This window comes from Homo sapiens, chromosome 15, assembly GCF_000001405.40.
Source record: "Homo sapiens chromosome 15, GRCh38.p14 Primary Assembly".
Taxonomy (NCBI): domain Eukaryota; kingdom Metazoa; phylum Chordata; class Mammalia; order Primates; family Hominidae; genus Homo; species Homo sapiens.
This window is the reverse complement of record NC_000015.10, coordinates 20,407,991-20,421,666: the sequence shown is the minus strand read 5'-3', so window position 1 is coordinate 20,421,666 and position 13,676 is coordinate 20,407,991. Positions and strand designations below refer to the sequence as shown.

The following is a 13,676-nucleotide window of genomic DNA, read 5'->3' as shown; positions in this document are numbered from 1 at the left end:
TCTCCTGTATCTAAAATAAAAGAGTAATTTAAAAAAATAGGCAAATGACTGAAGGAAGTGAGAAGACATATTCTGAAATCCTGAGAGTGAAAGTTGGGGAAAGGGGTGGAGAGAGAAGCGTGATTGATGGTGGTGATGAGGAGAGGATGATAATCAATAGGTTAATGAAGAGCACACATTCTAAAGGAAATCACTCAAGAAACGAAGGAAGATTTCATACAAATACTCCCTTATGATTGAAAACGAATGATATTATTACAACAATTTAAGTTGGAAAAAAAGACATAGGGTTTAAAAAGCCATGCAATTTGAAAAAATAAAAAGTAAATTTGAGAAGCTTACAACAAAAGTAAAATATTATAACCATTACGGAAATTAAAGTCACATGAGTAGGCTGCCTCAGAGCATATAGTACATTCCATTGGAAAGATGGTCCTGCCATAACATATAGCATCAAGTTAAAGCAGGAGAATAAAATTATATGATCAAGTGTGGTAGTAGTTTTCCATTGCTACATAACCCATCACCACATACGTAGTTGCTTAAAACAAGACAACACAAAACAACACGGAAATTACTATTTCTGTGGGTCCAGAGCCCAGCCCTGAGTTATGTAGGTCTTCTGCTAAGGAGCCCATCATTCTGCCATTAAGGCACTGGCTTCCTGTAGTTCTCATCCAGTTGCTGGCAAAGTTCAGTTCATTACAGGTGTAAGACTGAGGTCTCTGTGTTGTTGCAGGCTGTTGGCCACGCCCTGTGACAACATGGCTGCTTACTCAAAACCAGCAGAAGCATCTCTCTCCAGTGGGCTAGGAAGAAGTCTTATGTAGCTTTATATACTCATGAGAGTAACTATCCCTCATAGTCACAGGTCTGCTCATCCTTGATGTTGGAATTACATGGGACATACACACCAGGGGGTGAAACTCTTAGAGGTCATCTTAGAATTCTGCATACACAAATTACAAAATGGAGAGAAATGACAAGAAAAGCAATATGTACTATAAATTTGATGTTTCCGAAGAAAAGAGCAAAACAAATAAAATATGAATTTTTGACTTTATGATGATAGAGAACTTTTGACTTCTTTCTCCTTCAAAAAACACACAGAACAAGAAGGAGACACAGTAAAGAATTAGCTGAAGTCTCATTCTCTAACTTGTGAGTGAAAAAGCCTCAAACAATTGCAGAAACTAGTAAGAAACAAGCAATTCAACTTTGCAGAACAAATGAATTTAGGAATGAGCACTAGTACTACTGTAGTTGGTGGTGGCTGGTGTGAAAGTTCACAGAAGAAACAAAGAGCTTCCATTTCCCAATTACATCCCACGGAGTCCAGTACCTGTTCTTTCTAGAATGAGGCATAAGGCTAGATATTTATTCTCTGGAGAAATATGTCAAGAGAAGGGCCAGGTGTAGGGACACAATTCACAAAACAAGAGAATAAGGTCTACCAAACAGAAGGGTAAAATCTCACTGTACTTACATTAATTGTAAATCACTCTCATAACTTCTTCTGTTCAGATCCATACACTGGTAGTAATAAGTATAGAGAAATTCACAAGCAGACATGTAACATCACCCAAATACCATCTCCAATAAGTTTTACAGTTCCTCTATCTTAAAAATGAATAGACAACCGAGATTTGACAGTAACCTCAAACATGAAAGGCAGGGATCAAGGTAAAAATAATAATAATAATAATTACAAGTAAATCTATAATAAAAGATACAATACAGGCCTGGGAAAAAACTTTTAAAAATGATATGCAGTTATGTTCAGAGAGAGAAAATCTATAACACCTATACATCTCAAAGGTAGAGGAAGCTGTAACAAGTAAAAAAATTCAAAAAATAAAATACATAAAAGCTTTTGAAAATTAAGAAATACAATTGCTAAAGGAAAACAAATCAGTAAGAAGAATTGAAGTCCAGTATATTTTTGGAATAAATAGCCAAAACTGATCAAAATGGAGGCCTCTAGGGTGGAAGACTTTCCACAGAAATGCTCCATGCTGGATGGAAGGCAGTGAGGCAGTGACGGCTAAATTCTGACAGAAAGGAATGTGACCCTAGAATTCTGAAGCCAGTCATGTGTTCTTGCAAGTGTAATGGAAGAAAACACCGAGGAGCTTTACTTCTCACTCTTGACTTGAAAACACGTCAAGCCAGACAGAAATTAAAATAACAGACTCAAGAATGTGAAGATTCAGTGAAATGAATGATGCTGAAAATTACCCTCTATTTAAATATTGAAATTAAATTAGAATGAAACAAAATCTTTGTCAATCATGGTTAAAGGAGAATAACTGTTTAAAGCATTGGCAATGTAAACTTAACAATATAACAAAATAAATCGATCCATATGGAGAATAGAGGTACAAATATTATATCCTCTTCTATTAAATATGAATATGAAGTCACTATTTCAAGTTGAATTGTAGAAAAAATGACACAATACTCTTATTTTTATCTTCTGTTTTTGTTGCTTTTGCTGTTTTTAATTTAGAACTACATTTTAGAATTAAATTTTTTTGTGCCAGAATAATTTTTGCTATAATTTTACTTCTGCTTTATTATATTCATTAAATTAAATATTATAAAAGTAAAAATAACGTAGTGTGGTACAGAATCTCATTTGTGGGATTGTATGAATTGATCTATTACTCTGTTTATTTACATGTCTATTCATATGTCTGTCTCCACAGAGAAATATGAAGAATGCTGTTCACTAAATAATAACAATGTGTGTATTTTGGTTTCATTTCTGAGTAGCAGGATTTTGGTAATTGTTTAGTGGCCTTTTATTACTCTTCTATAGAAAGCTTGCCCTAATGTTGTAACAACAACACGTGACGGGTTTTTTTTTTGTTTTGTTTTTTGAGGCAAGTCTTGCTCTTGTCCCCCAGGCTGGAGTGCGATGGTGCTATCTTGGCTCACTGCACCCTGCGCCTCCCAGGTTCAAGCGATTTTCCTGCCTCAGCCTGGGATTACAGGCACGTGCCACCATGCCCAGCTAATTTTTGTATTTTTAGTGGAGATGGGGTTTCTCCATGTTGGCCAGGCTGGTCACGAACTCCTGACCTCAGGTGATCCTCCCACCTCAGCCTCCCAAAGTGCCGGGATTACAGGCATGAACCACCATGCCAGGCCAAACATGAAATTTTTACTTTTATTTTTGAAAAAGACATGTTGATTGAACTCCTTTACAATCAGTCTTAGCAATTGCAAGAGCTAGCTGATTCAAGAGTAATGAAACAATCAGATTATTTAAATGGGGTGGAAGCATGATGCCCTGGAATATGAGCATTTGCTAATCCTGCCACACTAGTGTTTATCCCAGGTAATCTCTAGAAAGACATTTGTCTATCCTTATGCCCTAAAAATGTTATGAATAGAGAACACATAAAAACTTCGTAGATGTCAAATTTTTAGTGATAATACCATTTTTACAGCCTAACTCATTATGTGGTAGGTGTTCTGGCCCACTTAGGTAGCCTCTGCTTCTCTTTTCGACAGTAATAAACCTGAAGTTGGAAGAGTCTACAGCACTGCAGAGCTGAGTAGAGGAGACTAATTATTTTACCTCCTCTTGGGCCATATTGGACTCTTATCTAGGATTGTATGTATCAATAAGCTTTTCCACTTCTACCACTGTATTCTTTTCTTTAGATGACCTTCATCTTTGTTTTGGTATAAAGTCTCCTCATACTATGCAAGCAGCCACTTTCTGCTGAATGCTCCCCACTTACTCAGTCAACTGCCCCCCTCACTCCCAGTTTGTGTTAGATAGTGCCTTCTCTCATTACACCCTGTGTTTAAGTTGACTACTTCTTATATGAAAATATACATCAGCTGCCTTTTTCATGTCTTTCTGCTCAATTAGATTTTGAAATCCCAGAGAAAAATAAGTCATATTCTCAACTTTCGCCTGTGTTTATTGCCCTAGTCTATACATCTGACTGCTTCATTGTGTGCCCAACACACAATCCAAACTAACCTAATAATAGACGTGGAATTCTACTACACAACCAGTGAGTTTAATGAGCTGCAAATAAAAGGACCATGTTGCTTCTTCCCCCCATTAAATTTCATCCTTTATAGCTGTTTTGGCTATCACTGATTTTCATGTGTTCAAATTCAGATGTTTGCATAGTAAAATGAAAATGTTCCATAAAAGGATTACTTTATTCTTAATTGGTTGTTTCCATTTTAGTCAGAGATGAGTGAAGAGGCAATGCCCACTAAACTTTCTCTGCTACTGAAGAAGACAACTAGGCTGAGGTGGCAGGATTGTTGGGTCCAGAAGTTTGAGGCTGCAGTGAGCCAGATTACACCACTGCACTCCAGCCTAGGAGACAAAGCAAGACCTTGTCTCAAAAAAAAAAAAAAAAGTCTTTTTATATATCAACATGTATGTTAATTTTTGCAAAAGGTTTATTAAACCACATTATTCTTATTTTATGGATAAGAAAACTGATAGAGAGTTTAGATAACTTCTAAGTATCCTCCCATTCATAGATTGGGACGCTACTATCTGAATTTAGATCTTTTGATACAAAGTTTATTTCTTCAGTCATATTCTGGAATAGTTATTATATAAAAAGTAGACAAAATGGCAGATTTAACTTTCACCTTCAGTAATTTTTGAAAAGATTATGGAAGTGTGAGAGTAGTGGTTCTCCCAGCACGCAGCTGGAGATCTGAGAACAGGCAGACTGCCTCCTCAAGTGGGTCCCTGACCCCCGAGCAGCCTAACTGGGAGGCACCCCCCAGTAGGGGCAGACTGACACCTCACACGGCCAGGTACTCCTCTGAGACAAAACTTCTAGAGGAACGATCAGGCAGCAGCATTCGCGGTTCAAGTAAAACCGCTGTTCTGCAGCCACCACTGCTGATACCCAGGCAAACAGTGTCTGGAGTGGACCTCTAGCAAACTCCAACAGACCTGCAGCTGAGGGTCCTGTCTGTTAGAAGGAAAACTAACAAACAGAAAGGACATCCACACCAAAAACCCATCTGTACATCACCATCATCAAAGACCAAAAGTAGATAAAACCACAAAGATGGGGAAAAAACAGAGCAGAAAAACTGGAAACTCTAAAAAACAGAGCGCCTCTCCTCCTCCAAAGGAACGCAGTTCCTCACCAGCAGTGGAACAAAGCTGGATGGAGAATGACTTTGATGAGTTGAGAGAAGAAGGCTTCAGATGATCAAACTACTCCGAGCTACAGGAGGAAATTCAAGCCAAAGGCAAAGAAGTTAAAAACTTTGAAAAAGAATTAGATGAATGTATAACTAAAATAACCAATACGGAGAAGTGCTTAAAGGAGCTGATGGAGCTGAAAGCCAAGGCTCGAGAACTTCGTGAAGAATGCAGAAGCCTCAGGAGCCGACGCAATCAACTGGAAGAAAGGGTATCAGCAATGGAAGATGAAATGAATGAAATGAAGCGAGAAGGGAAGTTTAGAGAAAAAAGAATAAAAAGAAATGAGCAAAGCCTCCAAGAAATATGGGACTACGTGAAAAGACCAAATCTACGTCTGATTGGTGTACCTGAAAGTGATGGGGAGAATGGAACCAAGTTGGAAAACACTCTGCAGGATATTATCCAGGAGAACTTCCCCAATCTAGCAAGGCAGGCCAACATTCAGATTCAGGAAATACAGAGAATGCCACAAAGATACTCCTCGAGAAGAGCAACTCCAAGACACATAATTATCAGATTCACCAAAGTTGAAATGAAGAAAAAAATGTTAAGGGCAGCCAGAGAGAAAGGTTGGGTTACCCACAAAGTGAAGCCCATCAGACTAACAGCGGATCTCTAGGCAGAAACTCTACAAGCCAGAAGAGAGTGGGGGCCAATATTCAACATTCTTAAAGACAAGAATTTTCAACCCAGAATTTCATATCCAGCCAAACTAAGCTTCATAAGTGAAGGAGAAATAAAATCCTTTACAGACAAGCAAATGCTGAGAGATTTTGTCACTACCAGGCCTGCCCTAAAAGAGCTCTTGAAGGAAGCACTAAACGTGGAAAGGAAAAACTGGTACCAGCCACTGTAAAATCATGCCAAATTGTAAAGACCATCGAGGCTAGGAAGAAACTGCATCAACTAACGAGCAAAATAACCAGCTAACATCATAATGACATGATCAAATTCACACATAACAATATTAACTTTAAATGTAAATGGACTAAATGCTCCAATTAAAAGACACAGACTGGCAAATTGGATAAAGAGTCAAGACCCATCAGTGTGCTGTATTCAGGAAACCCATCTCACATGCAGAGACACACATAGGCTCAAAATAAAGGGATGCGGGAAGATCTACCAAGCAAATAGAAAACAAAAAAAGGCAGGAGTTGCAATCCTAGTCTCTGATAAAACAGACTTTAAACCAACAAAGATCAAAAGAGACAAAGAAGGCCATTACATAATGGTAAAGGGATCAATTCAAAAAGAAGAGCTAAGTATCCTAAATATGTATGCACCCAATACAGGAGCATCCAGATTCATAAAGCAAGTCCTGAGTGACCTACAAAGAGACTTAGACTCCCACACAATAATAATGGGAGACTTTAACACCCCACTGTCAACATTAGACAGATCAACGAGATAGAAAGTTAACAAGGATACCCAGGAACTGAACTCAGCTCTGCACCAAGTGGACCTAATAGACATCTACAGAACTCTCCACCCCAAATCAACAGAATATACATTTTTTTCAGCACCACACCACACCTATTCCAAGATTGACCACATAGTTGGAAGTAAAGCTCTCCTCAGCAAATGTAAAAGAACAGAAATTACAACAAACTGTCTCTCAGACCACAGTGCAATCAAACTAGAACTCAGGATTAAGAAACTCACTCAAAACCACTCAACTACATGGAAACAGAACAACCTGCTCCTGAACGACTACTGGGTACATAACGAAATGAAGGTGGAAATAAAGATGTTCTTTGAAACCAACGAGAACAAAGACACAACATACCAGAATCTCTGGGACACATTCAAAGCAGTGTGTAGAGGGAAATTTATAGCACTAAATGCTCACAAGAGAAAGCAGGAAATATCCAAAATTGACACCCTAACAGCACAATTAAAAGAACTAGAAAAGCAAGAGCAAACACATTTAAAACCTAGCAGAAGGCAAGAAATAACTAAAATCAGAGCAGAACTGAAGGAAATAGAGACACAAAAAACCCTTCCAAAAATTAATGAATCCAGGAGCTGGTTTTTTTTGAAAAGATCAACCAAATTGATAGACCGCTAGCAGGACTAATAAGAAGAATCAAATAGATGCAATAAAAAATGATAAAGGGGATATCACCACCGATCCCACAGAAATACAAACTACCATCGGAGAATACTACAAATACCTCTACGCAAATAAACTAGAAAATCTAGAAGAAATGGATAAATTCCTCGACACATACACCCTTCCAAGACTAAACCAGGAAGAAGTTGAATCTCTGAATAGACCAATAACAGGAGCTGAAATTGTGGCAATAATCAATAGCTTACCAACCAAAAAGAGTCCAGGACCAGATGGATTCACAGCCAAATTCTACCAGAGGTACAAGGAAGAACTGGTACTATTCCTTCTGAAACTATTCCAATCTATAGAAAAAGAGGGAATCCTCCCTAACTCATTTTATGAGGCCAGCATCATCCTGATACCAAAGCCGGGCAGAGACACAACCAAAAAAGAGAATTTTAGACCAATATCCTTGATGAACATCGATGCAACAATCCTCAATAAAATACTGGCAAACCGAATCCAGCAGCACATCAAAAAGCTTATCCACCATGATCAAGTGGGCTTCATCCCTGGGATGCAAGGCTGGTTCAACATACACAAATCAATAAATGTAATCCAGCATATAAACAGAACCAAAGACAAAAACCACATGATCATCTAAATAGATGCAGAAAAGGCCTTTGACAAAATTCAACAACCCTTCATGTTAAAAACTCTCAATAAATTAGGTATTGATGGGACGTATCTCAAAATAGTAAGAGCTATCTATGACAAACCCACAGCCAATATCATACTGAATGGGCAAAAACTGGAAGCATTCCCTGTGAAAACTGGCACAAGACAGGGATGCCCTCTCTCACCACTCCTATTCAACATAGTGTTGGAAGTTCTGGCCAGGGCAATTAGGCAGGAGAAGGAAATAAATGGTATTCAACTAGGAAAAGAGGAAGTCAAATTTTCCCTGTTTGCAGATGACATGATTGTATATCTAGAAAACCCCATTGTCTCAGCCCAAAATCTCCTTAAGCTGATAAGCAACTTCAGCAAAGTCTCAGGATACAAAATCAATGTACAAAAATCACAAGCATTGTTATACACCAATAACAGAGAGCCAAATCAGGAGTGAACTCCCATTCACAATTGCTTCAAAGAGAATAAAATACTTAGGAATCCAACTTACAAAGGACATGAAGGACTTCTTCAAGGAGAACTACAAACCACTGCTCAATGAAATAAAAGAGGATACAAACAAATGGAAGAACATTCCATGCTCTTGGGTTGGAAGAATCAATATCATGAAAATGGCCATACTGCCCAAGGTAATTTATAGATTCAATGCCATCCCCATCAAGCTACCAATGACTTTCTTCACAGAATTGGAAAAAACGACTTTAAAGTTCATATGGAACCAAAAAAGAGCCTGCATCGCCAAGTCAATCTTAAGCCAAAAGAACAAATCTGGAGGCATCACGCTACCTGACTTCAAACTATACTACAACGCTACAGTAACCAAAACAGCATGGTACTGGTACCAAAACAGAGATATAGGTCAATGGAACAGAACAGAGCTCTCAGAAATAATGCCGCATATCTACAACTATCTGATCTTTGACAAACCTGACAAAAACAAGAAATGGGGAAACGATTCCCTATTTAATAAATGGCGCTGGGAAAACTGGCTAGCCATATGTAGAAAGCTGAAACTGGATCCCTTCCTTACACCTTATACAAAAATCAATTCAAGATGGATTAAAGATTTAAACGTTAGACCTAAAACCATAAAAACCCTAGAAGACAACGTAGGCATTACCATTCAGGACATAGGCATGGGCAAGGACTTCATGTCTAAAACACCAAAAGCAGTGGCAACAAAAGCCAAAATTGACGAACGGGATCTAATTAAACTAAAGAGCTTCTGCACAGCAAAAGAAACTACCATCAGAATGAACAGGCAACCTACAAAATGGGAGAAAATTTTCGCAACCTACTCATCTGACAAAGGGCTAATATCCAGAATCTACAATGAACTCAAACAAATTTACAAGAAAAAAACAAACAACCCCATCAAAAAGTGGGCGAAGGACATGAACAGACACTTCTCAAAAGAAGACATTTGTGCAGCCAAAAAACACATGAAAAAATGCTCGTCATCACTGGCCATCAGAGAAATGCAAATGAAAACCACAATGCGATACCATCTCACACCAGTTAGAATGGCCATCATTAAAAAGTCAGGAAACAACAGGTGCTGGAGAGGATGTGGAGAAATAGGAACACTTTTACACTGCTGGTGGGACTGTAAACTAGTTCAACCATTGTGGAAGTCAGTGTGGCAATTCCTCAGGGATCTAGAACTAGAAATACCATTTGACCCAGCCATCCCATTACTGAGTATATACCCAAAGGACTATAAATCATGCTGCTATAAAGACACATGCACACGTATGTTTATTGTGGTACTATTCACAATAGCAAAGACTTGGAACCAACCCAAATGTCCAACAACGATAGACTGGATTAAGAAAATGTGGCACATATACACCACGGAATACTATGCAGCCATAAAAAATGGTGAGTTCATGTCCTTTGTAGGGACATGGATGAAATTGGAAATCATCATTCTCAGTAAACTATCGCAAGGACAAAAAACCAAACACCACATGTTCTCACTCATAGGTGGGAATTGAACAATGAGAACGCATGGACACAGGAAGGGGAACATCACACTCCGGGGACTGTTGTGGGGTGGGGGGAGGGGGGAGGGACAGCATTAGGAGATACACCTAATGCTAAATGATGAGTTAATGGGTGCAGCACACCAACATGGCACATGGATACATATGTAACAAACCTGCACATTGTGCACATGTACCATAAAACTTAAAGTACAATAAAAAAAAAACGAAAGGATTATGGAAGTGTCATGGTTACCTATGCGTTTAATGGCTTAAAATTAGAATAATTAGAATCTAGAGAATCAAGTGCGCAATTTATAACATTATTTTAAAGAATGACTTAAGTGCTGATATGAAAACTTGTTTCAGGGGATTCCTGGAGTCTAGTTTGCTGGTCACTGTTCTCACACTGTTTTTTTTTTGTTTTGTTTTGTTTTTGTTTTTTGTTTTTTTCCTGATGGCATGCTCCTGAAGGTTCTTATGCAGATATGTGGTAGTCTCATTTTCAATAAATACCTAGAAAGTGTAGTTGTGGTCACACCAGAACACGTATCTTAGGCATTCAGATTCAAGAATTAGGCCTTGTCTGATTACATGGCCTTATAAGATATTAACAAATGATGGATGTTCACTTAGAAACACTCAACTGAGTGAATTATCATATATATGAAGAAAAATATAAACCGAAAAGTGTTAAACCTGTCTGCTGATCACACACAAATAGATACATCAGTGAGCAATGCAGTTTAGATTTAAAACTATAGAATTTAATAGCTTTTCAAAATGTAAATACACCTATAGGTATCAAGTTTTTGTTTTTGTTATTATTGTTATTGGTCTCATATTTTTTTATAAAATTGCCCTCAGTGGATAATGGAGTTAGTGGCTCATTTCAAACAATACTTTTGGAATCTGTAATTATATCTAAAACCTATCAATTTTTTCATTATATTCTATAAAATATTCGTGATCAATTTACTATAAATCTATCTTAATGTCTTAAAATTATACAACTGTTGCTTCATGAAGATGTTGTTGATTTATACTCTTGCTATAAGCAACTAGCACACTTCTCCTCTGAAGATACATGTACTCATTTATCAAAAAACAAAGGAGCAGTACATCTGTTAGCATCCAGGAAAATCCAGAATACCGTCGTGACCAAATGCTGGAGTGGAGCTTTCATTTGTTGCTGGCGGAAATGCAAAATGGTACAGCTTCTTTAGAAGAGAGTTTGGCAGTTTCTTACAAAACTAAACATACTCTTACCATACTAACCAGTAATCACATTCCTTGGTATTTACCCAAAGAAATGGAAAATATTTGTTCACACAAAAGCCTGCGTGTGAATGCTTAAAGCACCTTTATTGCTAATTGCCCAAACTTGGAAAGCAACCAAGATATCCATCCTTCAGAAGGTGAAAGGATAAATAGCCTGCATTACATCCAAACAATAGAATGTTATTCAGCACTAAAAAGAAATGAGCTATCAAGCTATGAAAAAACATGTCAGAATCTTAAGTGCATGTTCCTTAGTCGCAGAAGCCGATCTGTAAATTTCCAATGATACAACATTCCGGAAAAGGCAAAATTATGAAAACAGTAAAAAGATCAGTGGTTGCCAGGAGTTGGGGGTGAAGAGGTTGAATACATAGAGCAGAGACTATTTTTAGAGCAGGGAAAATACTCTGCATGGTACCTTAATGGTGGCACATATCATTATAAATTTTTCCAACTTATGTAATGTACAGCAGTGAGGGTAAACCCTAATGTAAACTATGGAGTTTGGTGATTATGATATGTCAATGTAGGTTCATCATTTGTAACAACTGTCCCATGCTGGTAGGGGATATTGATAATGAAAGGCTCTGCATGTGAGGGGGCAGAGGACTTATGGGAAATCCCTGTTACATCCTTTCAGTTTTGCTATGAACCGAAAACTGCTCTAAAGTAATTAAGTCCTTAAAAATAAACAAACAAATAAGTGAGGGATTAGACCAATGATGATCATGGCAGAGATAATGCAGATAGCCAATCTTAAAATAATCAGAAAGCTGCAGTGCCCACAACCTCTCCTGACTTTAATGAATTAAGTAGATATCCAGGGATTTTCAATGGAGAGTGGAAGATAAAGCTATAGGAAAAAAAAGACAAAGACACAGTGGTTAAATGCTGAACCTTGGCCAAATGCTCTGGTGTGAAAAATAAGACTTTGAAAGACTCTAGAATAAGAGCTAGCTATCCCAAGTGACAGAGCATGAGAGAGGTCATAGGAACCATAGACAGAACACAGAAAAACAGTGTCACTCAGCATAGACCTATCTCTACGGCCACTATGGGTAACAATCATTGTTTATTTCTTAATGTGGAGGAACCAGGAATTGTGATCAGAACTCATTTTGATCACTTAAGTCATTCAATTTATGGAAAGAATATGTATGTATTAAACTATGTATCTCTAGTTCCAGAGAGTGAATTCAGTTATTCCCCAAAATCCTTTTGTTGTTTTAATGAAATCCTGAGTCAAAGAGCCCCTGCTGCTCTTTAGTAGACAGATAACTCAGGTTTATGAAGTCTACCTGTGTGGTACCCACAGTAGGCAAATGAGAAAAGTAGCCCAATTCAGAAAACCATCTTAACTGGGGCTTAACTCCGGCTGAGTGTTACATATATCTCATTATTGAGAGATATTTCCCTTTTAGATGACTTTTTCATTTCTTTTTAAAAGAAAGAATGGATCCGTATGTGGTCAATTCACTTTTCAACAATTCTTTCTCTACTGACAGGCTGAAGTGATTTCACATTAAGAGAAAATGAGTTTTGCTGCTTTTCATAAATTGGTAATGAGCTTTTTGAACAATCATAGCCATAACCTGATTCACAAAAGAACCTTCTCAGATTTGCCACTAACATGTCTGTAACAATAAGCTGAGAAAAAAATACCAAATAAGTTGATGCCACTTGCTGAGAACTATTTTCCTGTCTTCATTTCAGCCCTTTAGATTATTTCTCCCTGTGACGCTATCAAGCAGCCTGGGTTCAGTTTGACAGTTAAGCATTGAGATATCTCTATCACTACCCTGTCTCACTTTGCAAAAGGAAGAGAACTTCAATGCTGTGCAGCAGGAAGGATGCCAGGAAAATTAGATTTTATTTTCAGCTCTGCTTCTCACCAGCTTGTGTGATATTGGGAAATTTATTCTTCTGCTCTGGATCAGTTTTCAATATTTCAAATATGCGTGGACCTGTTTCCAAAGAGCTAAAAGACCTCCAGAGGTCCTCTCATTATTAAGATATGATGATGCTAATAAAAGCGTAACATCCGAAATGCTACCTATTACTTCTGTGGAATGATTTCTCCCTGGATGCCTTCTTGTTGCTTACTTTCATTTCCTTCAGAGAAACCAACAACCCATAGAATGTTGCCTTTACAGTACTAGAATGGATTGAGGGCATATCGAGAAAAAAAAATTCCAGCAATTCCTCTTTTAGCTCATCTCACTTCTCACATTCTTTATTGTAGGCAATTAAAGGAACCACTTGGTGCATTCACCACTCTGCACGGAAATTTTATTAGCCAGATTTGCAAGTTTATTAGCCACATTTGCTATCTTCCACATAAGAAGGTGGCAGCTTCACTGATTTTTGTGCCAATATCATTAAGGTCCATTTGTTTTTTGCTCTTTCTAACAGTTTCCTCAAGGTTTTTAGTCCATAACTTCCACCTGATCAT

The 13,676-nt window shown here is 37.8% G+C and overlaps 1 pseudogene across 1 annotated transcript in view; it reads left to right on the top strand.

The window, feature by feature from the left end:
* HERC2P3 (HERC2 pseudogene 3) overlaps positions 1–13,271 on the top strand; it is a 97,785-nt pseudogene extending 84,514 nt beyond the window's left edge. Inside the window, exon 26 of the transcript NR_036432.1 lies at positions 12,938–13,271. The product of NR_036432.1 is annotated as an HERC2 pseudogene 3 (transcript). The remainder of the gene's footprint in view (positions 1–12,937) is intronic.
* Positions 13,272–13,676: the final 405 nt, after the last annotated feature.